Here is a 25599-nt window from a genome sequence, read left to right on the forward strand (position 1 = left end):
ATCTAATTTAGTAGAGAAGTAAGAAATATAAATAATATTTTTATATTGACATATTGTGATGTGTCAGAATAGAGATAGGCACAAGTTCTCATGTAATTATGAGAGAAAAATTCTTATTGAGCTGGGAGAGGAGGAGGTTGGGACAGGGACAGGATTCGCAGGGCTTTGAGCAGAAGAAATGCCCTCTCTTGGGGTGAAAATGTTGATGGTGCCAGCGAGCCCTCTTGAAGAAACCTAGGTAAAACTTAGGAAAGACCAAAGCTTTTGCCTCCAATTACAAAAAACATTCAGTTTTATCGAACCTTTTTTTCCTGGAAAAATGTTCTAACAAGTAATTGACAGTATTTGATAATTGCTGTACATGTAGTTCCCCTGAGTTTTATTTCACTGGCATCCATTAAGGTAGTGATTTCTCCACTTGCTGGCATCTCCACCAGTTCCCCCACAAATATTAGCAAAAACATGTATTCCTATTAGAGAAAACTCCCCACCACACACACATACAAAAAAACCCAAAAAGTCATAAAATTGTAATGTCAAAAATCATGAACTAATGAATTATATAAGGAATAGCAGCAAAATAAAAGATGAATATAAAAGCTAAATTTATAAGTCTTCAAGCATTATTTAAGCTAATTTTTCTAGATTTTTATAGTCTTTTCTTGCTTAATATGTTTGGGGAGAAAAAATAAATATGTATAAACAAACAAACTCTGGGGGCCTGTTTTTATTCTTAAAGCCAGATCCTAAAAGCTCTGAAGTTTGACCCAAACGTGGCTGGGGATCCAGAAGTATACAGAGTGAGTGATTTATCACAAGGAGTGGTTTGCTTCAAAGGGTACCAAAAACAGAAATTCAAGGTGTAGATTATAATGTAATTTTCAAGATTATTTAAAAATGCCTTCCCTCAAATGGAGCAACATAGTTATCTAATTAATTCAGATGAATAAATATTATCCTTTAATTCATATCTCATTAGCCTGACACAAGCTGGAACACATTGTTCTTTATCATACAACATACATTTCTTGCTATAAAATGATAAATTTTAGGAAATAAGGTGTATAATGGAAGACCAATTGCTCCAGAAGAGATGTGCATAACTTGTAATCTTGTAAATTAATTCTGCCCGGGCTGCATTCCAGTTTTCCAGAAGAACAATGATTAACAAAGGAAAGCCCACCCAATGGCATAAAAGACGGCATGAATACTGCTGCACAATTCCCTCTAGGCACACTCAGAAAATTTTCAGGATCCTACATGAAATCTTTTTTTCTAAATAGTAATTTCATTAAAATACGTGCTGCAACTGAAGTTGTGAGTGAGAAAAAGTGCAGTGAAGGAACAAGGCAAGAAAATGGAGTTTTAGAAACTACACAGTAAACGACTGCTGATAAATGTAAGCATTCTGGTACAATTAAGGGTAGTTTTGTGTGCAGAAAAGATTATTCGAGATACTTTATTAATAACCTTTTATTAAAGTTACAGATGCTGAAATTGAATTCTTCCTTGAGCTTTTATGTTCAACTTCTTATTCTAATTTAAAAATCTAGCAAATATTTACAACTGCTTGTTATGGGGATTGGAATAATACTGGTTGGTTTCCACTTATAACCTTGGTAACTTAAATACTTTCAATATGACAAACGTTGTTTATAAATTTAATACATTGTATTTTCCTTTTAAGTTAAAATTTCTGATTGACAGGCTCTTCCATAATACTTAAGAAACTCAGATAAATCAAATTAACTTTATATGGTGAAATTAGAATTATTTTAATATTCTAGTGCTATATATAACCTCAGAAATATTCACCAAAATCTATTATTCTGTTATATATTTGAAATTGATATATGTAATACTAATTATGCATAAATTCTAAACATAATATGAATACTATGGTTCTGATTCCTTTAAGCATTTTTATACTAATTTTTATACTAATTCTAAATATTCCCATAGTTAAATGCTACTTTTCTCTGGGGAGACAATTGCATTCTTTGTCAATTAGGTTACTTTTCACTAGCAATTTTACTGGGAATGAGATCTGTAACTTTAGACATTGAGAGCAATTCTCATCGCCTGCTATTTAAGTAGTTATTATTTTAGAAACACCTTAGCATGCTTGAGACTACCCAAAGGCTAGAGACTTTGACCAAATCTAACTTTTAACTTAGAAAAATTCATAAGCTACACTTCTTAATGCATATACCTCCATGGTCCAAAGCATCAATGAAATCTTTACAATCCCCTAGACAGCCCTATGTAATCTGGTTCCCCCATTTCTACCTATTTCCTCTCTTATCCATAAAACTCCTACTTACCCTCTTCCTTATTCACTCTACTCCATCCACACCAGTTTTCTTGCTACCTCTAGTCCTTGCCCAATGTGTTCCTGCCTCAGGGCCTTTGCACTGGCTCTTCCCTCCACTTGGAATACTCATTCTCTCAGGTGAATTCATGCCAATGACCTTCAGGTTTTTACTCAGACATAACTTTCTCCAAAAGGCCTATTCCAACCATGCTATTTGAAACTGCAACCCTGCCCTCTCTCTCCACCCCTGTCACTATTCCCTATTCTTCTCCCACTCAATTTATTTTTTCCATATCACTCAACAGCATCTGACATGCTATACATTTTAATTATTTACGTACTTATTGCCTATTTCTCCCAAAGCTCCATGAGGGACAAGATTCTTTTCTTTTTTGTTCAGTGCTGAATCCTGATAGTTAAAAAGTTCTCAAAAAAATATCTGTTGAATGAATGAGTAAATGGAGCAAAAAAGCTAACTTCTGGGTGCCACAGAAAGAGAGTCCATGTTATTGTTGACATCCTTGTAAAGAATGCAAAGTTGTCTGAGCACTTCAGCAATGGTTTCTGCAAGCAATGTGCAAATTTGGAGACAGCCTTCCCTGTTCTTCTGAGCAGGCCTGGGATGACCTCTGCCTGTTTTCAACCATTATTGATGGTAATTATTCATGTTTGAAATTAACATTACATTTCTTGAAAAATGTCCCTTAATTAGAATTTTCACTGTTTCAAACTAGCCTTATCCCTTAATTAGTCCAAAGTGGTAACTGAAGTTTATGTCCCAGCTCAATTCATTCTCCTTCTTTACCTTAATCTCCTGTTTTCTCATTTGTCCCATTAACCATAAATGGGGCTGAGAGAGGCACAAATTGTTTTCTCATGATGAAAGGTCTGAATCGACTAATTAGGTCAGTCAATTCCCAGAGTGCAAAGGCTAAATTTTCTTGCTTGGATATGCACCACATATCTGCAAACCACAGCACAGTTAGTTATCAAATATTCTGCAAATGTTCCCATGCGGAGCTCCCTCTGAGGGTGATCAGGGAGGCTTGGAACAGATCAGAAAGAATTTTGTCCACATGTTTATCATGCAGGAGGGAACTCTGTGAGGGAAAACTATTCTTCAACTTCTTTTATCACTATTAATATAGAAACAAAGCAAAAGAAGAGCGGACTGTGCTGTTCTCCCTGTTCTGAGTATCTGGACATGGGCTTTATCTTTTTTATGGAAAGTACAGGGTTGTGGGGTGAGGGGTGGAACCACTTACCATTCATCTTCCTGTATTGATATTCATTATGTAGGAGTAAGAACATCTTGCCCTGACTTGTATTACCCCAGGCAACAAAACCAATTAAACTCCCTTAATGGACAATTCCTAAATGTCCTATATATGGAGCCAACTTGGCACTTCCCCCACTGTGTTATGAGCTTAGTGAAAAGTCCCACAGAAGTATGATGCTGGGGCTAAAAATGTCCAATGGCACTAGCGATGAAAAAGTCAGACAGAATCTTGGGGTTCTCAAGTCCATGTTTCCCTTGAATTTCTTTACTTAAGCCAAAAGGGAAACATGTAATATCTGATTGTCTGTGGATGCTATATTTGACATGAGGAAGATTTCCATTCTCATAGGAAGAAATAAACCAAAGAAAGAGTTATGACCTTGTGGCTTACTCATTCTACAGGGGGAATTATCCAAGGTATTTAAAAAAATAGGGCCCCTGTTTTTTAAAACCAAACCCTAAGATATTTTTAGAAACCTTGAAGATTGCTTGCCATAAAAAGCTATCATCATTAAAAAAGCAGGAGATTTTCTAGCTCGTAAAACACGAAAGTTTGGCTTTATATCTGAACAGACTAACTCTTATTTTAGAAAAACCACTTAAATAGACCCATTAGTTTTATTGATGTAAATAAAATATACATCCATAGCTTAAAGAAAAACTTTCAGGTAGTTACGTAACTAAATGCAGATATTGAAAGTCAATCAGATACTGCATATCATCACTCTTCCATCTGCTGTATACTTTTGTATATTGTGGTTCAGGGTTTTAGCTGTCTCTTAGTTTTATTAAAGATGGAATTTCTACTTTTCTTGATCATTTTTCTTGTTGTTTTAGCGCAATTTATGAGAGGATGATGTGGCAAAATGATTTGAAAATTGGAAGTGATTTACTGCACAACTTAAATATTTTGTCTTATCATTACAGCAACTCTATAAGGTGAGTACACTGGGAAGGATAAATTTTATTAAAATAAATAGAAGGAAAGACGAAGTTTTGCCTTCTTGGGGAGAGGCATGGCTCAGCTCTGTTTAGATAAAAAATGATCTTGGACCTTGGACATTTTGATGGAAAAAGGTTGGGCTTGCTGGGCACCATTTGAAGGACTGTGGCTAAATACAGAGGGTACTACATTTTTCTACATGCTACATGTTGTGAGGGATTTTGAATCTTACTGGGAAGCATGGAAGAAAAGGGACTCATGGTCCAAGAACTGAAAAGAAAGGTGTGGGAAGAGGAAAGATGAGAAGAAAGAACAGAAGGGAGATGGGAGAAGAATGGAGGAAGAGAAAGACAAACAGAAGGAGTGAGTGTGAAAGAAGAAGGGCTGTGTTGTTTATGAGCAGCATATCAATAGGTAGGAACTGGAAAGAAAGTTGGCCACAAGAAGTTCCCCATGGCAGCAGGGGATGGTAGGCTCTAGGACAGAGCAGTCCCATCCTGAGGTTTAAGGTGTGTGCTAGGCTGGGCGGCATACCTACTTCTCTGCTCCCACAATCACCTCCTCCACTACTTTACAGTGAAGATGCTGTTTGCTTGCTCTCTAAAGCCAACCCTTCCATCTGCTCTGCTATTGCAGTAATTTTAGTGCTGACTATTCCTCCTTTTTGTGTATTTAACATTTCCCATTTGGGTCCTTTCTATTAACTTTCAAATAGGAGCTAAGCAATTTGGGAGGCCAAGGCAGGCAGATCATGAGGTCAGGAGATTGAGAACATCCTGGCTAATACGGTGAAACCCCATCTCTACTAAAAATACAAAAAATTAGCCAGGCATGGTGGTACGCACCTGTAGTCCCAGCTACTCAGAGGCTGAGGCAGGAGAATCACTTGAACCTGGGAGATGGAGGTTGCACTGAGCCAAGATCATGCCACTGCACCCCAGCCTGGGTGACAGAGTGATACTTCATCTCAAAAAACAAAAAACACTCCAATCTTTAAAAAGTTCCTTCAACTTCACTCTTTCCCTGCCATCCCTTTATCTTCCTCCTCTCCTTCATAGTTAAGGATCTCAAAAGCACTATGTTATTTTTTCTTTTTCCATGTTCTCCCTACACATTCATCTCACAACTTACTTCAATCTGACTTTCATCTCCACCACACCATCAAAAACAGCCCTGGCTATGTAGGCTATTAATGACCTGAAGACGCTAAATCCAATAGGAATTATTCAGGGCTCACTTTATTTATTTGACCCTCAAGCATTTGGCTTATTGATCAGCTCCTCCTTGAATTCTCTCCCTGCTTGGCTCTCGTGCAGCTATCCCATCTCAAATTGCCTCCAGTCTTTCCTGTCTCTTTTGCAGGCTCATCCTCCTCACCAGGCCCAACCGTACCACATTCCTACTTTCTCTCTGAGGTACATCATACTAGTCTCTTTTTAGTTCCCACCCTCCCTGTCACAAAACTTTTCACGTGCTATTCCTGTAGATAGCTTTCATGTTAGTTATCACTTCTTTGAGGAAGCCATTTCTTAAGTGCCAAATAAGTCAATTCTTACTATTATTTTTATTGCACCATGTATCTCCCCTTTATAACAACTCTGGATGCTTCATCTGCATCAGCTGAGGTTTTATACATATTTTCAGTAACTATTGGGTTAATAATATCTGCATCAGCCAATGACTCTACACTTTGTGATGGTAAGGATCATGTTTGTTTGCTTTGTTTTGTTTTTGGATTGTGAAGCGCTTACATTTATTGTCTGCTCATTGCCTGGCACAGAATGATCCTCAATACATATTTGTTAGATAATTTTCCCCAAACTTTTATAAGCACCCTTTCTAGTGATTTTTTGTTAGCAGTGAGGGGCAGAATGGGAGAAAGAGGACAGCCCTGCAAACTGGAGGGATAATTAGAGCTTGGAGAGTTAGAAGGAAAAGTTTCAAGCATAGGAAGAGTCAGACAAACACCACTCCCTTCAGGCACTCACATAAATGTGAGGAGGGGGCACAAGTCACCTCCCTTAGCCACTAAGATCAAAGATAATCCCAGATTGCTGGAGACTCGGGGACACCTAGACAGCATATCCTGTTTGCAAAGGTGTTATTATTACAATCTCATGGAGAAAAAAACGAATTGTCAGACACTAGATGAAGTCAGACTTCATTTGTGGGCCCAAAACCTGACAGCCCAGCAGAAGCAGCAGGGCCTGGTAAATGCTAGACCACAGTTTCCAAAACACACAGATTCTAGTTCACGAAACACACAGATTCTAATTCAGTTGGTCTGGGGAAGAGGTCAGGGGTCTACATTCTAAAAACAACCCATCCCAACACACCCCTATTCAGTTATAATATATCTCCAGATTTGGGAATTACTAGACCAAATAACTCTTAAGGTATTTTTCACTCCTGAATTTCTGTGAATCTCTAAAAATAGAATTTTTTTCAATAGAGGCTATATGAACTTCCGCTCAGGTCATGGATTATTTATTCTTTTGTTCAATAAGCATTTGATGCAAACTTTTTATTGATGAGGCACTGAGCTGCCTTTAAACACATGTGCTCCTTAGGAGTAAAGTGGGGTTGATTTGACAGAATTGTCTCTGCCCTTAATGAAGTTACAATACAATACAGTTAAAGAAATTAGATGTCCAAGAAATAATTTGGGACACATAGGGCATTATATGAACTAAAATTTCAGTTATCTTTCCATCAACATTGCCAAGCACCCTGAAAAGTCCCAAAACCACAAATAAGTTGGGTTATTCTTGACCTTTTGTGCCTTCCCCATAGCACCCCTTGTGAGATGTAACCCCTTTTTCTTCTACAGCTCTTATATGCTTTTATATCTCTATATTGTAACTCTTTGCACAAACTGCTTCTTCATCCTCAATATGTATCAAGTACATGTGTTCTGCATACAGTAGGGGTTTAAGAGTTTCAAATGAGTCAGTGGCCGACCAGAAGGGAAATGGTTTTTCAAAGTGGTTTTTGCTTTGAAAGAGGCATCTATAAGGCAATGAGGACAGAAAAGGAAATAGAAAAATGAAGCTGAGAAAAGAAAGATGCAAAGATGAAAAGTAGGGATGGTGAGGGGTGGCACAGAGATAAACTGCGGTGGTGTGGTATAAAAGCAGGAACCACATTGGTACCAGAGAGGTGGAGTTCACTGGCAAAAAGAGAAGATAAAAGACAAAAGGCTAGGGGTGGCCTTTGCCTTGGTCTTCAGAGATCTTCAATGATCTTCAATGATCTCTGAAGACCAAGTCAGAGGCCTCCCCTAGCAAGTGTTGGAAGCGAAAAGTGGAAGAGGAACTGACTCTTGTATTTTAAACTCGATCCCCCAGCCCTCCAGGAGATCCAGGTAGTGGGCAGGGAGTTATCAGAGTCATGTCATAGAGAAGTCTAAGAAACCCAGATAAGGAGATGAGGGATGAGTGTCACCAGGAAGCAGATCCCTGTATGAGAATCAGTATGTGGCAACAGAAATCAAACCACTTTCAACTAGACCCAAACTTAATGTAAAGACACATCTTCTAATATATCCCAACAGGGCTGAAATTAATCCTAGAGATGGAGAGTTTTGAACCTGCAGGGTAGGATAGGCAAATGATTACACTTGACTAACTAAATGGACCTTGAGGTTGACTTGCCAACACCCAGACCCACTATCTTACCTACGTTTTTGTCCATGGAGGCAAACCAAGAGGACAGGGGATGCTGACTCCAGGCTGGCTCCACACATAAAGCATGCTCTTAGGGCCTAAAAAATCAGAGTATTTTTACCATCTGGCCCAAGACAAATATTTGGGCTGCAAGGCAGGAGGGAGCATTTGCCTGAGGTTTTGGGTCAAATAGTAACAGGTTTTTCAGGCAGTGGGTGTAGACCTGGGAGTTGTTGGCAGCCATGTTGGGACAAAAGCATAGCAGCTTTGGCACAAAGCTGCATCACTCACCACTGAGTATCAGAGAAAAGGACAGAAACCAAGTCCTTGGTGATGCAATTTTGTGACTGGATCAAACCAATCCTGACACCTATACACTTCTGAATTTCCAGTTATGTGAGCCAACAAATCTTCTTTATGGCATAAGCCAGTTTAATTTGTGTTTTCTGATATGGTAACTGGATGCATTCTAACTGAGACAACCTTCAAAGTGATCAGGTAGGTGTTCATGGAGAACAGAACCTGGCAAAACATGCTGGAGAAACCAGGGAAGTCAAAGATCAGAGAAGGCTGGTGTAGCCAATGAAAACTACACAAGTATCTTGAGAAGTGTCTCTGAAGAAAAGGTAGATGTGGCAGATGAGGAAGAGAGTAGGCCTTGCCATCTGCAAGAAGGGTGTGACCCACCACACAGGAATGGGCTAGGACCAGCTGAGCATGGCCCTTCCCTTCCCTTGTCTGACAGTTATGGAAAGGAATTCTTTCATTTCCTGGTGAGCAGCAGCTCTACCCATTGCATCAGCTTGCTGTGCTCGCCTGGTGTCTGCTCCTTAATCAGACATGGGAGCCAGGGCAAGTGAATGCCAAGTTGTGAAAATAGAAGAACAGGTAAATGGAAGTTCTCTCCAATTTGCATCTGGAGTAACACAGGGGTGATAGATGTGAGAAAGCCAAATTGCTAGGTAATGTACACATCAGGCATAGCTTGCTGCAGTATGATATGGTCATGAACAACTTTCTTTGAGAAATTTGCCTCGACTATCAAATGTGGTTTTCTTTTCCTTTAATGTTCTATAATTAGTTAATAAAAATGTCTGTAATCCAAATTAATATCCATAATGTACCAATCAAAATCAGAGATGTATGATATACTCAGACTGGAGATGCTGCTCTTCCACAATTCTACAAACAGGCATTTGCCCCAGGTCCTCGGTGGCTCCACAAGCCCCTTGTGTGAACATGAAACAGCCCATAGAGCAGAAAGAAAGGCAAAAATAAGACTCAGTGGGTCGGGCACAGTGGCTCATGCCCGTAATCCCAGCACTTTGGGAGGCCAAGGCAGGTGGATCACTTGAGGTCAGGAGTTCAACACCAGCCTGGCCAAAATGGTGAAACCCCACCCCTGAAAAAAAATTAGCTGGGCATGGTAGCGCATGCCTGTAATCTCAACTATTTGGGAGGGTGGGGCAGGAGAATAGCTTGAACCTGGGAGGCAGAGGTTGCAGTGAGCCAAGATTGCATCACTGCACGCCGGCCTGGGCGACAGAGTGATACTTTGTCTCAAAGTAAGTAAGAAAGAAAGTAAATAAATAAATAAATAAATAAATAAATGAGACTCAATGAAAATCTAGAATTTAAATGGTAAATTTCTTAGAAGTGAGCCCCTCTTGATTCCCCTCTGGTTTTCAAAAGGAAATCCTCATTCATAAAATGTCTGAAAATGACTTTCATAATTGAAGCTGTGACTCTTAGTTTGGGGCCCTAGCATGCCAGCAATTCAGTCAGATTATCTGAAATAATGATTTATCATTGCAGATAGTCCAGCAATAATTTCAGATACCACAGCCTCTGCTGACACTTTTCAGATGTTTTCCTTATGATAAATTTATCTGTTTTTACTTTTTTCATTAAATGTATCTGCTCTGGTGTCTTTGTTCCTTCTTCCATTAGTCTGGAAATCCTTGTGCAAGCCTGAGCCATAAGCTATCCCTCCATCTCTTGAAGAACACAGTAATGGAGTAAGAATTCATAAGTGTATGCCTCAGAATCCTCAGATATCTGGGACCTGGGAGTCTCAAAATCGAGGCTATGCAGAGCTGGATAAAATAAAACTAGAATCAGGGTCCCCTGAGTCGTGGAAACTACTCCAGTATCCAAATGTATCTGAGCCTCTTTGCACATCCAGGGAAGACTAAAAGTATTTTCCAGCCTATGAAATCAATTTCTTACAAAGATAAAAGGAAATTATTGTTGGTCTTTTTACTTTATGACCTACCTCTTTGTAATAAGAATTGAGGCAAATTTGTCATCAAATGCTCTTTGCAGAGAGGTAGGATGTCATAATGGAGGGAGCCCAGGCCCTGAGGTTAGACATAAATGGAGATGAATACAAGTTCCCTCACTGATCAGCTCTATGCCTTCTGGCAAGTTACTTAATCTCTCTGACCCTTGCTCTCCTTTGCTATAAAAAGGGGTTATTGATACCTGCATTTTGGGCATGTTATATGGATTAGGAATAATCTATTAAAAATGCATAGCATAGTGGCTGGTACAAAGTAGACATTCAACAAATTACAGTTATTATCATCATTTTCAAAGTAAATTAGTTTAAACATTTAGGAATCGGTTTATGCTTCCAGATGACTACATAAACCTGAGAGATTTTTTTTTTTTTTTTGCCCCATATAAATTTTCTGTAATTGTATACACTGGCTGTGAATCCAGTTATGAATCGAGAATAATATATTTAAAGTAATCTTATTCCAGATTAAAAATAAATTCTAATGGTTTGCCTCAAAAAGAGAAACAATCAAGCTTCCCATTAAGACAAATTCAGTAACCACAAAAGCATGCAGAGCTAGACAAAAGAAGATAGTACTATTCTTTCCACGAGTGTGTGACTCATTTTCAACTCAAAGATGGTGCACAGGAAACAAACGCTCATTTACCCACTAGGCTGCTCGGAGCCTGCAGGGATACAGACAACACCCCACTCATATTTTGCACATTCAGGCAAAATGTTATGTCCTTCCTCACTGGATTCAGTCCCATTTTTGCAGGTGTAACTTTTATAAGCAAGACTGAAAAGAAAAAAGAAAAAAACATGTCATTTGGGAGTGCATTCAAAGCCCATTAAGATGACACATTCACTCGTATTTCTCTTTAACCTTCAGGCCACAGGACAGCCTCCCAACCCAGCTAAAGAATCAAGGGCGGAAGGCCAAAATCATCTGAAAACAAATATGATACTTCAAAAATGTCTGAAAAGGACAGGTGTGCTTTTCAAGAAGGCTTTCCCTCAGTGGCTTTACCTTTTGTGTGCGGCCCGGATGTAGCTGATAAACCAAGGCTTTCTGACTTTGCAGCTTGATAGATATAATTTTCATAGTATATGGAAAGATAATGCACCCAATGTATTGGACAGTTGTCCCTGTGTTATCAAGCAGTGTGTTCTCTTATTTCACTAACAAATGTCCAGACAAACACACATTGTGGCAAATGCAAGGAAATCACTAGCCTGTGTTTGAAACTTAAGCCTCCCCGTTCTTTAGAGTATAGCAGTATTCAGGCAATAGGGATGCATGGTACGAGCATTACCCTTTCTCTCTCTCCAGACTCCAGAACATGACAATAGCTGATATGTTTCAGTGCATGAATAATTCTGATTCCAGCTAGACAATTGTTGTGAAGGAATTGTCCTTATAATATTTGTCTCATAAAAATATGTATATTTTATTATAAAACAAGAATGTTCAAATGGACATCCACATTTTGGCCCCAAATCCTCCCCTTTTGTGCATCTTATGCAAAGTACATGTCAATAAGTATTTATCAAATGAATGTTAAAAGCATGAAAGAATGTTTTATGGGGATTTTGATGTCTTTCTAGTGAGATACTGTTTTTCATTTAATCATAACTCATTTTTTTTGAGATGAGAAAATTTAGACTCAAAGTCATGATAAGCCACCAACATCATAAAGAGCAGACTCAGGAACTGAACTGTATTCTCTGCCTGTCCCTTCATGCAATTTCTTTCTCCTTTCTACAGAAAAATCCCCCCTTCCTGCTATTTCCACCCCTGAAATATTTATAGGCTGATGTCCTCTTTAGTCATCACTGAGCTAAGCTGCAATCTTTTAATCATTTCTCAGAAGTCATTTTCTCTATCGGCTTAATCATTTCATTTACTTCTGACTCCACCCAAAGTGCTTACGTCCCTTAAACATGAGGTTCCAGAACTGAAACATAGTCCTTCAAGGAACCAGAGAGAAGCCAGGCAACATCAATCAAGCCCCTTGATGATGGAACGTGTCCTCACATGTGACTCAATAGACGTTTTGCTGTGGGACTCTAATTCTGTCTTGCCTTATAGGCAAGATGCAATCTTTATCAGAGCTCCAGGGGTAATGCTGTGTCACACAAAAATGTGCACTGCTTTTGATATCAGGCACACCTGGGTTCAAATCTTGGCTTCCCGATTTACTACTTACGTAACCTAAGGCAAGTTATTAAGCGTCTCTAAATCTTGGTTTCTTTGTCAGAGACAAGTTGGGAGGAATACTAGCTACATCATAGGAGTCTTGTGAGAACTAAATCACTTAATATATGTAAATGGCCTGTATATACTATACCTAGCACACATTACATACAGCACATTTACTAACCTCTAAATCTAGTGTTAAATCAATTTCTTTCTCTCTCACCGCACTCCATTCAATTTACCAGGAATTCTGTCCACCTTTCTTTCAGTTTTTCTGAACGTATCCATTTCTTCCCATTGATATGAGTCACAAATAGATCAGCTGCCACCTGATCAGACCCACCATCATTTCTAACCAGACCATTGCCATAGCCTCCTGACTCATTCCCCTGCTTTCATCCTTGCCTTTTATAATCCTTTCTCTACACTGTAGCGATGTCATCTTTCTAAAAGATTACTTGGACCAGTCCACTTGCCTGCATAAAACATGGCATAGGGTTCCCACTACACTTAAAAACAAATCCAAAATTCTTGCCATGGACTACAGGACCTCAAGTGATCTTTCCCTGCTTGTATCTCTGAAGTTATCCTTCTCCCCTCTTCTATCACTTACTCTACTTTTAGCCATATATGGCTTTTGGTTTCTTGAGCTCACTAAGCTTATTCTGGTGCCAGAAACTTTGCCCTTTCCATTCCCTGAGACTTAGATGTTCTTCCCCAAGATCTTTACATGATTGGTTCCTTCTCACCATTTCAGTCTAAGACCAGAGGTCACCTCCTCCAAGAGGTCTCCCTTGGTCACCAAATCTCACGTTGTCTCTCCCTGATAACCTAACACTGACACTTTCTAGCACATTACTTTGTCTTACTTTCTTTATATCACTTTATCACTATCTGAAATTACCATCTTTATTTATTTGTTTGTTTATTTCCAGAATGTTTTTCTCTCTCAACAGAATGCCAGCCCTATGAAAGAAGGAACCTTGTCTACTTTGCATCTCTCAATATTGTTACCTCCTAAAATTGTGCCTGGCATGAAGTAGACACTCAATAAATATTTGACAAATGGATAAATTGGTTTGGAAGAACTGGGCTCTATCATACTTTTCATAAGTATGAAAAGCATTTGACAAGATAATGAAATCTTAAGGTATTCTCACATAAATTTAATATCTCAGCCCTAAATTTTGCATAGCCAGGAAATTCTGTAGCATTATAAAATGGTTCAGAACACAGAGCATGTTTTAATCCTAGCTTTGCCACTTCCTTTCTGTGTGACCTTGGATAAGTCAGCTGACGTATTAAAACTGGTTTTCTTGTCTAAAAATATAAAGATAATAACATACAATATTAGAGGGTTTTGTGAGGATTAAAAGAGCTAAGTCTATAGCACAGTTCCTGGAACATTGTGTGCAGTCAATAAATGGTGGTTATTATTATTACGGTTATTGTTCTTACAGTAATTAATTCTGGCACCATATTTTACAAAGAACTTTGACAAATTGGAGCCCATCCAGAGGAGAACAAACAATCTTGTGAAGGGTCTGGAAACCACAACTTGTAAGGAATGATGGAAAGAGCTGAGGATGTTTACCTTGGAAGAGACACATTTTAAGAGGAACATGATAGCTTTTTTAAAAACACTGAAAAGAACTGTCTGGTGGAAGACAGATTTGATTTATTCAATGTTACTCTGGAGTATACATTTAAAGCCAAAGAGTAAAAGTTAAATCTTAAATTCTTTATGATCTAATAACCAAACTTTCCCAAACCAAAATAGTATTGAATTCTACTTATAATAGTAAAAACTTTTAAGTCATGTTTGCATAAATTTTTATTAGGGAAATTATATCGTATATGAAGCCACTTGCAATTACCACTGTATTCGTCCATTTTCACACTGCTAATACAGACATACCCAAGCCTGGGCAATTTACAAAGGAAAGAGGTTTAATGGAGAACTCACAGTTCCACGTGGCTGAGAAAGCCTCACAATCATGGCAGAAGGTGAAAGGCATGTCTCACATGATGGCAAGCAAGAGAAGAAGGCTTCTGCAGAAAAACTCCCCTTTTTAAAACCATCAGATCTCATGAGACTTATTCACTATCACAAGAATAGCACAGGAAAGACCTGCTCCCAGGATTCAATTACCCCCTACTGGGTTCCTCCCACAAGATGAGATTTGGGGTGGGGACAAAGCCAAACCATATCAACCATATTAAGACTTTGTATCAATATGAAAAGTATGTGTGGGATGTCAATTGCAAAAAAGCAGACTATGAAATATGTGCATAAGCAGACTATGAAATATAGGCACTCTATAGAGAGAAACAGAAACAAAGAGAGAGAGAATATAAACACAAACACATGCAAATAAAATGTGTTACTTCAAGAGGTGATGAGTTTCCTGTCCCTCCAAAGGTTAAAGCAGAGACCAGACAACCTCTTAGAAGAAACAGCATGTGAGAAGTGATATTACAGACAAAGCATTGGGCAGGGTGAACACTGAAACGATTTCAAAGCTCCTTGGGTCTATGATCTGATGAATATTGTTGAATTGTGGGCACAAAACTGTGCTTTTTAAAATAGTAAAGATGACATTAAGCCTCTCAAATATTTTCATTTCCTCCCAATTAAAACAGGCAAAAAAAATCTAGTACCAAGAGACCCAAGTTCTGGGCTCCATGATCTACTAGGGCATTGTGGCATCAAGACCCACAAAGTGGACATTTCTGGCCATTATTTCTCTTCTGCTCCAGCAAAAGCCTGTCAACCTCTCTGAACCTCATTTTCTGGATCCTTTCCCAAAAAGAAGGAAGTTGCATGCTTTCTATTTCTAAGAATCTATGCTTCATCTTGATTATTTTCTTTCATAAATCTGAGCTTGGCCAGAAATTAGAAGCCACCTGAACTTTGTAAATAAGGAATTTCCAAGAACACTAACAAGGGAATAACTGTAGGAGAATTTTGGTCCCCAAATCAGGGATGGTCCTTTTTCCACATAAGTTTCAAAAAGTAATAAATAATTCCTATTATAATTAAATGGGTGAAAAGTTTAGAACTCTAAGAGACAAGCATCCAAAAGTAGGGTTTTCCTAGAAAGTCTCTTTATATTTTATGTAAGATGACATTAAGTCATCACCTGCATTGCTTTCTTGGCTTTTGATGATAAAGGAGCTCTCCTCTGTTGTTGTTAAACTTCCAGGCAAGTTTTCGGGCTATCTTCATCCTAGAAGGGCCAATAGACAGAAGATTGCCATTTTCAAGCATTGAACACACAATTGGATCCTTCCTTGACGTCAACTTACCTCCCATTTTATATCTCGGATGATTTCCAGTGGTGACAAAAACATGTATATTTCCTTTCCCACTTAGGGAACTATGAGGTGTGCTTTGACTAGCCAATAGAGATATTACAAAATAGCAAACCCATAAAACTTCTAGAGACTTCACGAATCCTGTAAGAACAGCCTCATTCTCTTCGAATCCTTGGTTATAATTCACATAGATTATCTTGTGGGAATAGAACAAAGTAAGCCTTGCTGTGCCATGCTCTTCTTGTGAAGAGTTCTCTGACTCCTATATTTCAGATGAAGGAATCATTGTAACATGACAATGGTCAGGGAGTGCCCTGCTCCCATGCCCAGAATTGACCTACCATCCTCAAACCAATAAGCTCAAGCCCAGATGATTACCACCTACATGGAAGGTAACTTTTTTTTCAGAAAATAGAAATTTGTTAATATTTTTATAATTGAGATGAAATTCACATAACAAAAATCAACCATTATAAACTGAACAATTCAGACCGATTTATTACATTCACGTGTTGTATAATCATGACCTCTATATAGTTGCAAAACATCTTCGTTACCTCGAAATACAACCCTGGACCCATTGTGCAGTTCCTCCATTCTCCCCTCTCTCCAGTCCCTGGCAAATGTTTGTTTTCAGTCTCTATAGATGTACCTATTCTGGATATTTTATATAAATAAAATCATGTAACATGTGACCTTTTCATTCTAGAAAGATAGCCTTTTAATCATTCCCAAGTTTACTTTAGGAAGGTGTCACGTTTGTGTAAGGAAATACATAATCATATGAATTAACTTATCTAAACAAGAATTTATTGAGACCTAGCATTTGCAAAACATCTAGTGTTTTAGGAGCACAAAAAAGACCTATTAATTATCCTTGTACTCAAAGAAGCTACAGTTTAGAAAGTGGGTAGCAGAGAAAAAAGATCGAGAGCCAAATCCAAGAGGCCACTATTTTTTAGCAATCAAAAGAAGCCTGGCTTATAAGGGAAGCTTGGAGCTTTGAGGTCCTCCATAACTCACATCAATACTAGTTAGGATTCGTGGTTGCAAGTTCCAGAAATATAACTGAATTAGTTTAAAACAAAAAGGGGAAATACCAGGTGTGGTGGCTTATGCCTGTATTCCCAGCACTTTGGGAGGCTGAGGCGGGTGGATCACCTGAGGTCGGGAGTTTGAGATCAGCTTGACCAACATGCACAAAGCCTGTCTCTGTTAAAAATACAAAATTAGCCAGGCATGGTGACACATGCCTGTAATCTCAGCTACTTGCGAGGCTGAGGCAGGAGAATCGCTTGAACCCAGGAGTCAGAGGTTGCAGTGAGCCAAGATCATGTCATTGCACTCCAGCCTGGGCAACAAGAGCAAAACTCCATCTCAAAAAAAAAAAAAAATGTGGGAAGGAATATATTATGGAAAAGCAGGGGTGGCTCACAATGCGTGGTAGTAGAAACGGAGCCCAAACTCAAAGGAGAAGCTTAGGAATTTCCCTTTCTCATCTTGATTGCTATCTTAGTCCATTCAGGCTGCTATGACAAAATACCACAGACTGGGTGGCTTATAAACAACAGTAATTTATTTCTCACAGTTCTGGAGGTTAAGAATCCCAGGTCAAGGCATTGCAGATTTGATGTCTGGTGAGCACTCCCTTTTTCATAGATAGCTGTAATTTCACATGGGGTAAGGGACAAGGGGTTTCTCTGGGGTCCCTTTTATAAGGGCACTTATCCCATTAGGGAGGGCTCCACTGTAATGACATAATCATATCCCAGAGGCCCCACCTTCAAATAACATCATCTTGAGGTTACGATTTTAACATATGAATTTTAGGAGGACATAAACATTCAGTCCATTGCAGCTCCTCTATATATTTAAACGTCAATTCATTCTTTGCTCTCTGTTCACGTGGTGGACAAAAGACAGTGATCCCACAGTTTCCAAGTTTATATCTCCTTTCTTCAAAAGAGGCACTATTACATGAGGCTAAGAACAGGCTCCAGAGTCAGACAGAGGTGAGTTTAAATCCTAATTCTACCATCTACAGGCTGTGTGACACTGGGAAAGTCATTTAACCTCTTGGGCCTCAGTTTCCTCTTCAATAATAATACTGATTTCATAAGGTTCTTAAAAATTTAGTTGGAAAACACATATAAAGATCAATGTTCACCACATAAATCTTCAACAAATATTAATTATTTAATATTATGATTAAAGAGGCCATCCCTAAATGAGTGAGTCTTGATAACAAATCCAGATTTCAAAAAAGAGACTCTGATTGATCCAACTTGGGCCAAGTGCTTCCCTCTCCTCTATCAGTAACAGCCAGAGGGTAGAGTCACAGCTGAGAAAGATGGCTAGCACAGACATTCCTGTGGTAGAGACTCAGGAGCCTGTCTGCAACTGAACCCAGGAGAGAAGATACCAGAATCAGAGAGAAGAGGTGCGGAGTGAAAGTCAGGCCCCTAACCTGCTGAGGGGACAGCTGCCCGTGGATCCCAGGCCACAGAAGAAAAAACTTATTTGCGGCTTTTGGGCCTTAGCTAAAGAGACTCTCTCAGTTGATCTTTGGAACTTGTGCTACTGATTTTTAATTTAGTCAATATTGACTAGTTAACCTCCTGGACTTTGAAATCATTGTTTACTCTCTTTTCTATCACTTTAGCTTGTTTGGATTATTCTTTTATTCTCTCTGACCTTTAGTTTCAGATTTTCCTTTATCTTAGTTGTTCTTACCTCATGGTTTGCTTGCTGCCTTCTGCTTTTTTTTTTTTTTTTTTTTTTTTTTTTGGTGGCAGGGAGGGGTTGGGTTCATTTATGTAACCTAGTTTCTTGTATCATTTTATCTTTATTTAACTGTTCTTTTTTATTGTTTTATTGCTACTTTTAAACCTTTTTATTATCTACAATTTTTAGTTTTCTGAAATTCTACCAGTGAAAAGTGAAGAGGAAGGAGTTCAGCTGACAGGATGACCCCTTTGACCCCAAAAGACGGATCGGGGCTCATTTCCATTTCAACCATCCTGTAGGGGCCCCCAGACCCTGATGCTGATCTACAGAAATCTCACAGAAACTCTGCATAATTTAGTTTAGAAAGGTGTTTACAGATCCCCTCGGTTAAGGATTACACATCAGGCTGCTTCTCACCATACTTTGTTTCTGCTTTTCTAGGATAAAGTGCCTCCCTTCAGCAGATTGAGTAGGCGGTGAGTCCTATTCTGGAGAAAAAAGGTTTGTAGCTCTGCCAAAGAATCAGTGAAACAGGATGCAGCATTCCAGATGAAAGAGGCCTTCTCATCACTGTGGAGCTGCAGAGCTCAGCCCTAGGACCTTCTCTTCTCTGTCTTCATTCAGTTATTGATTTCTTAGGTACTATCCACATACTGATGACTCCCAAATCTATATTTTCAGAACACAACCTCTCTCCTGAACTCTATAGTGCTAACCTCCCACTTGACATCTCAATTTCAATGTTCAATAGGCATCTCAAACTTAGCATATCCAAAACTAAATTACTGATCTTTCCCCCTGCTGAACCAGCTCCTCCCAAAGTCTTTCCCATCTCAGATAATAGTAACATCATCTTTCTCTTACAGCCCATATCCAATCAGTCAACAAATTCTATTGGTTCTACTTCAAACCTTGATCACCTCTAACCTGGAATAGTGCAGTAGCTTACTTACTGGTCTCTCTGCTTATATCCCTGCCTCCTACAGTCTACTTATTATACAACAGCTGCAGTGATCCTTTAGAAATATTTATCAGACTGTATTATTCTGCTGAGAACTTTCAATGGTTCCTCATCAGCTGGTTTCCTCGTTCCTCCAACACAATCACGCTCCCTCTATAAAGCCTTTGTATTTGTTCTTCTCTCTTTCTGGAACGCTCTTCTATCAGATATTCACATAGCTTAATCTCTCACTTCTTCAGGTTCATGCTCAAATACCAGTTCATCATCCTGTACAAAATATTAATAGTACCCACTTCATCATTTTATCCCCTTCCTCACTTTATTTTTCTTTATAGTACTTATCACTATCTGCCATACTTGCTTATTATCAGTCTCCCCTAACTAAAATATTAGGTTGGTGCAAAGTAATTGCAGTTTTTCCCACTACTTTCCATGGCAAGAACCACAGTTACCTCTGCACCAACCTAATACAAGCTCCAATAGAAGAAAAGTTACTTTTTTCAATTTTTTTCTTGCTGTATCTCTAATGTCTGTGTCTGTAATGGCATTAGAAAATACTCAATAATTGTTTGAATACACTAAATAATTAAATAAGTGATTTTAATCCTGGTATTATAGTTCAAGCAGCATTTTTTTTTTTTTTTTTTGAGATGGAGTTTCACTCTTGTTGCCCAGGCTGGAGTGCAATGGCACAATCTTGGCTCAATGCAACCTCCGCCTCTTGGGTTCAAGTGATTCTCCCCACTCAGCCTCCTAAGTAGCTGGGACTACAGGCATGCGCCACCATACCTGGCTAATTTTTGTATTTTTAGTAGAGACGGGATTTCGCCATGTTGGTCAGGCTGGTCTTGAACTCCTGACCTCAGGTGATCCACCCACCTTGGCCTCCCAAAGGGCGGAGATTACAAGTGTGAGCCACCATGCCCGGACCTCAAGCAGCATTTTCAAACAGTTTATATAAAAAGAGGGTGCTAAGATGCGGGGAAAAGAAAATTTAAAAAGAAGGTGACAACTGCATCAATCCTTGAATGAACTACCATTGTATGCAGGCACTGTGCCAGATGTCTCTTGTGGGTTATTTCTTTTAATCTTAAATGTTATAAGATAATTGACAATATTGGTTCAGATCTAGTAGATTCTTTGAAACTTATCACTCATTATCTATTATCTTTTCACTCAAGCTGTAGTATTATTCATTGTCAAGAGACATAGACTTTAGAAAATAAACTTGCTGACCAGGAGGGGTGGCTCATGCCTGTAATCCCAACACTTTAGGAGGCTAAGGTGGGTGGATCATTTGAGGTCAGGAGTGTGAGACCAGCCTGGCCAACAAGGTGAAACCCCGTCTCTACTGAAAATACAAAAAAATTAGCCGGGCGTGGTGGCGCATGCTATAATCCCAGCTACTCAGGAGGCTGAGGCACGAGAATTCCTTAAACCCAGGAGGTGGAGGTTGCAGTGAGCCGAGATCCTGCCACTACACTCCAGCCTTGGTGACAGAGTGAGACTCTGTCTCAAAAAAAAAAAAAAAAAGAAAGAAAGAAAGAAAGAAATGTGCTAATCTTAATGTTGTATGCTTTTCCTCCTGCTATAAGGAAAGCAATTATGGCAGGTAAAGGCAAGCTGACCATATTTATCCTAAAGAATTCAAAATAAAATCTAATTCATGAAAAAGGGTACAAAGTATTATGGATAATACAATCAAAGGAGAAATTAACCTCAACATGTACAATCAAGGAAGATCTTACTAGAAGCTAGCACTTGATCTAAGCCTCAAATAATTGACATGCTTTGTAAACTCAGAAGTTTGATACAAGGCAAGTTACAGTGTAAGGAAAGACAAAGAACTCTTAAAAAGCATGGTATGCAAGAAACCTTGTAAGGCAGTCCCCACTGATCTCCACCTCCTCACATTTACGTAGTTGTGTAATATTCTCCACTTGAATATGAGTAGGACCTATGACTTACTCCTAGCCAACAGAATATGGCAAAGGTAGGTGGGATGTCGCTTCCATAATTAGGTTACATGATTGTGACTTCTGTCTTTTTATTTACTTATTTATTTTGAGACAGAGTCTTGCTCTGTCGCCTAGGCTGGTTGCAGTGGCTCAATCTAGGCTCACTGCAACCTCTGCCTCCTGGGTTCAAGCAATTCTCCTGTCTCAGCCTCCTGAGGAGCTGGGATTACAGGCACCCGCCACCCCGCCTGGCTAATTTATATATATATATATATATATATATATATATATATATATATATATATATATATTTTTTTTTTTTTTTTAGACGAAGTCTCGCTCTGTCGTCCAGGCTGGAGTGTAGTGCCGCGATCTCGGCTCACTGCAAGCTCCGCCTCCCGGATTCACACCATTCTCCTGCCTCAGCCTCCCGAGTAGCTGGGACTACAGGCGCCTGCCATCACGCCTGGCTAATTTTTTTTTGTATTTTTAGTAGAGATAGGGTTTCACCGTGTTAGCCAGGATGGTCTCGATCTCCTGACCTCATGATCCGCCCGCCTCAGCCTCCCAAAGTGCTGGGATTACAGGCATGAGCCACCGTGCCCGGCCTAATTTTTATATTTTTAGTAGAGACGGGGGTTTCACAATATTGGTCAGGCTGATCTCGAACTCCTGACCTCAGATAATCCACCTGCCTCGGCCTCTGAAAGTGCTGGGATTACAGGTGTGATCCACCGCACCTGGCCAAGTCTGTTAGCAGACTCCCTATTGCTTTCTGGCCAAGTCTGTCAGCAGACTCCCTATTGCTTTCTGGCCAAGTCTGTTAGCAGACTCCCTATTGCTTTCTCAGCATGTATGCTTTGATGAAAAAAGCTGTGATTTTGGAAAAGCCCATGTGTCAAGAAACGGAGACAGTCTCTAGCCAATAGACAGCAAGGAACTCAGGCCCTCAGTCTAACAGCCTTTCACACTCAAGCCTTCTGATGAGAGCTCAGTTCTCACCAACACATTGATTCCAGCCTTACGAGGGACTCTATCTCAGAGAATCCAGCTAAGTCGTGCCAGTATTCCTGATCCACAGAAACAGCGAGATAATAAATGTGTGTTGTTTTAAGCCGCTAAATTTTGTCATAATTTGTTACAAAGCAAGAAATAATTACTTTAATTTAGGACCAATGATACATTTGCATTTTCCCCAAAATCTTTTTTGTAACAAACCTTTTAATTTGTAGTTCAAGCATTTATTTAGTAAATATTTATTAAGAGTCTGTTTTTTGTAATTATTGTTGTTATAGTAAATATAAAGGCTGGGACTATCAATCAGAGAAAGACCTCTCCTCGAGAAGACTGGTCCAGGTAGGTAAGATGTGCTCACAAATAATTAAAACAAGGTAGAAGCTACATGCTAAACTACAGGGAATAGCTGGGGATGATCTATCAAGAATGTATGGTGGAAGTGCACTGAATTGGGTCTTGAAAAGCAGGTTGGGCATATAGAGATACACAATGGAATGTTTATAAGCAAATACATGGAGGTGAGAATTATGGGGCATGTACAACAGATGATAAACAATTTCTTTCACTACCGAGTGGGACACATTTAGGGTAGAGGGTACATGCAGGTAGACAGAATTGGAGAAGTAGGTTGGACCATATTGGGAACCTCCTTGAACTGTGGGCAAAGGGCTAAGAGTTGGTGCTTTTTAAAACCTTATATCATTTTGCCAAAAATAATAGTCCCAATTTCCTTTCTGAAACCTTCCTCATTCCATACCTAATACTTTTAAATATTGGGCCAACGGTAAAAACTTCCTGTACTTTTATCATCTCCCAGTTCGTTCAAGATTACTTATCCATTGAGTCTCTCTGAAATGGCTCACTGCATTTTATAACGCAATTTGAAGACCCAAGTATCACTGAAATTGAGAAACTAACACCATCTATAAAGTATTGTATGCATTTTTACTACATGTAGATTATTGTGGTGACTCTCTGCGTTTGTTTCCAGTACAGAAAAAATTATTACAGCATTTCCGCCGCCCCAACCCCCCACCACCAAAATGTCACTTTCTTGAAGTATTCTCATTTATTCATCAGAGTTTGGAGGAAGGCCACATGGCTGCAAAATATGTATTTATGTCTAATTCGTGCACAGCTTCTGCCTGTAACTTCATTTAAGGTAGCTTAAATGGCACTCGAACAGACAATTTTTACCTGTACATTTGCCAGCATGAAATCACTTTGAAAATCCATTGAAGAACATCTTGAAATTAATCTTCACTGGAGGCTTTCTCTACATAATCTCTGCTAGTTACAAAATTCTTCATAGAGATTCTCAGGGAGTTTCAAAAGCTTTCTGCTCACCCAACAGGATATGGCTCATTTTATAGTCTTTCATATATTACTTTAGAGAAGCACACAAACTTACCATCTTCCTTGCCTAATAGTAAAGGTTGATTGAGATCCTCTGGATTTGTGTTTTCATAGCTATTTTAATGCCCAAAACAACACATAACCAAGCATCCCTCCAGACTTTCAAAGTATCAACAAATAGTGTTTTTGAGCTTGTTTCTCTCAATTTTGTACTCTGTATATCTAATTATGCTTATAGCATGCATAATCCTATGACACCGACTGTCAACAATCACATCACCATACCCATATCTTCCCAGCTAAAAACTGTTTACAATTCAGTGTCACAATTTGATTTTTTTTTTTTTGATTGATGATACTTAAGCAGCTGGGAGAATTAATGGAGTTTAGCAGAGGCCACAGTCCTAACCAGGGTTTGTAATTGATATCTGGGAGGCTGCAGACTTTCCTTTCTGCAAAAGCAGTCCAATTAGTGAGGCCTGCATGTCTGTGCAAGGAGAGAGGAGAAGGTGGTGGAAGAGGAAACCTGAGGTCCCCTGAGGGTTTGAAACTGCTTGGCTCTTTCCTATCAGAACAGTTCCACAGAAGCAAGACAGGCAGAGTGCTTCTAGAAAAGACAGACTCTTCAAACATATTTGCAACATGTATTGCTGCAAATACACATAACATACAGTATTTGCAACTTACAGTCATCATTCTCCAATTAATGTTCAAAAGAGTTTAGTGGTTTATTCCTCTAACCCTTAGGTATATAGGACATAAATTTATTCACTTAAAATTTAACTTGTCAATATAATTCACTCTGGAATATTTTTAAATAGTAAGTTGCTTGATTCACTTAAAATTACTTTATAATGCAATTAACAGAATTGTTTTTAAAGTAAGTCCCTTTGAGGCCTATTATTTGATTTTTAAAATTATTTTTAAAAATAATTTTGTATATACATAATAAAATGGTACAAAGTCTGAAGAATTCAGGGACCACCTTTATATCATTCAGCTTATTTGGTGGAGACCAGACTGGGAGAAAGGGGAAGAGTTTTGATAGCTTAAAGAGCTGTATAAAATTGTTTTAATGATTAATATTCTTTAACTGCAAATGTATGAAACAACTGAATTTGTGGAATGCTTACTTTATTATAATTTTTTCCTTCATCAAACAGATATTTCCATTCCTTTGTTTTCAAATATGTTGCTTAAAATGAAAAGATTTACTTTTAGATTCTCTGTGTTCTTGACTACTGAAGTTTTCTTTTAATTTCAGCCTCTTAAGGTCAGAAGAATATTTGCTTTTAATTTTGCCATGATAACATAGACCTCAACACTTTTGAATGCTTTCTTCATAATTTTTCTGTATATTAAATTGAAAATTCATCTCACTCATAATACCCCATACAAGTCTCTCTTACATTTTATCTACTCTCCTGCCTATGACATTCATTTCTCTTTCCGTCCTTTGTTTGCTTATTGGTTTGTTTTTATTTAATGGCCCACATCATGCTTTGAACTTTGTGTCCTTTTAAATTTAATATTTATACATTATAAATTTCCCAACCCATTGTGTAAATAAATTAGTATAT

The 25599-nt window shown here is 38.7% G+C and overlaps 2 long non-coding RNA genes across 5 annotated transcripts in view; one reads left to right on the forward strand and one right to left on the reverse strand.

Annotated features, from left to right (window-relative positions):
- The window catches only part of LOC105369844 (uncharacterized), a 310508-nt gene that overhangs the window by 123634 nt on the left and 161275 nt on the right, over positions 1-25599 (reverse strand). For 3 of the 4 annotated variants that reach the window (XR_007063375.1, XR_007063376.1, XR_007063377.1), the window contains 2 exons: positions 15826-15912; positions 11150-11281 (listed from right to left, as the gene is read on the reverse strand). The exons of the other annotated variant lie outside the window; for it this stretch is intronic. This is a non-coding gene — a long non-coding RNA (uncharacterized LOC105369844). The remainder of the gene's footprint in view (positions 1-11149; positions 11282-15825; positions 15913-25599) is intronic. 4 annotated transcript variants of the gene reach the window in all.
- LOC107984533 (uncharacterized) lies at positions 1292-4595 on the forward strand. The gene is made up of 3 exons (XR_001749219.2): positions 1292-1399; positions 2715-2969; positions 4431-4595. It is a non-coding gene; the product is annotated as an uncharacterized LOC107984533 (long non-coding RNA).

The sequence above is a fragment of the Homo sapiens genome, chromosome 12 (genome assembly GCF_000001405.40).
Source record: "Homo sapiens chromosome 12, GRCh38.p14 Primary Assembly".
NCBI lineage: Eukaryota > Metazoa > Chordata > Mammalia > Primates > Hominidae > Homo > Homo sapiens.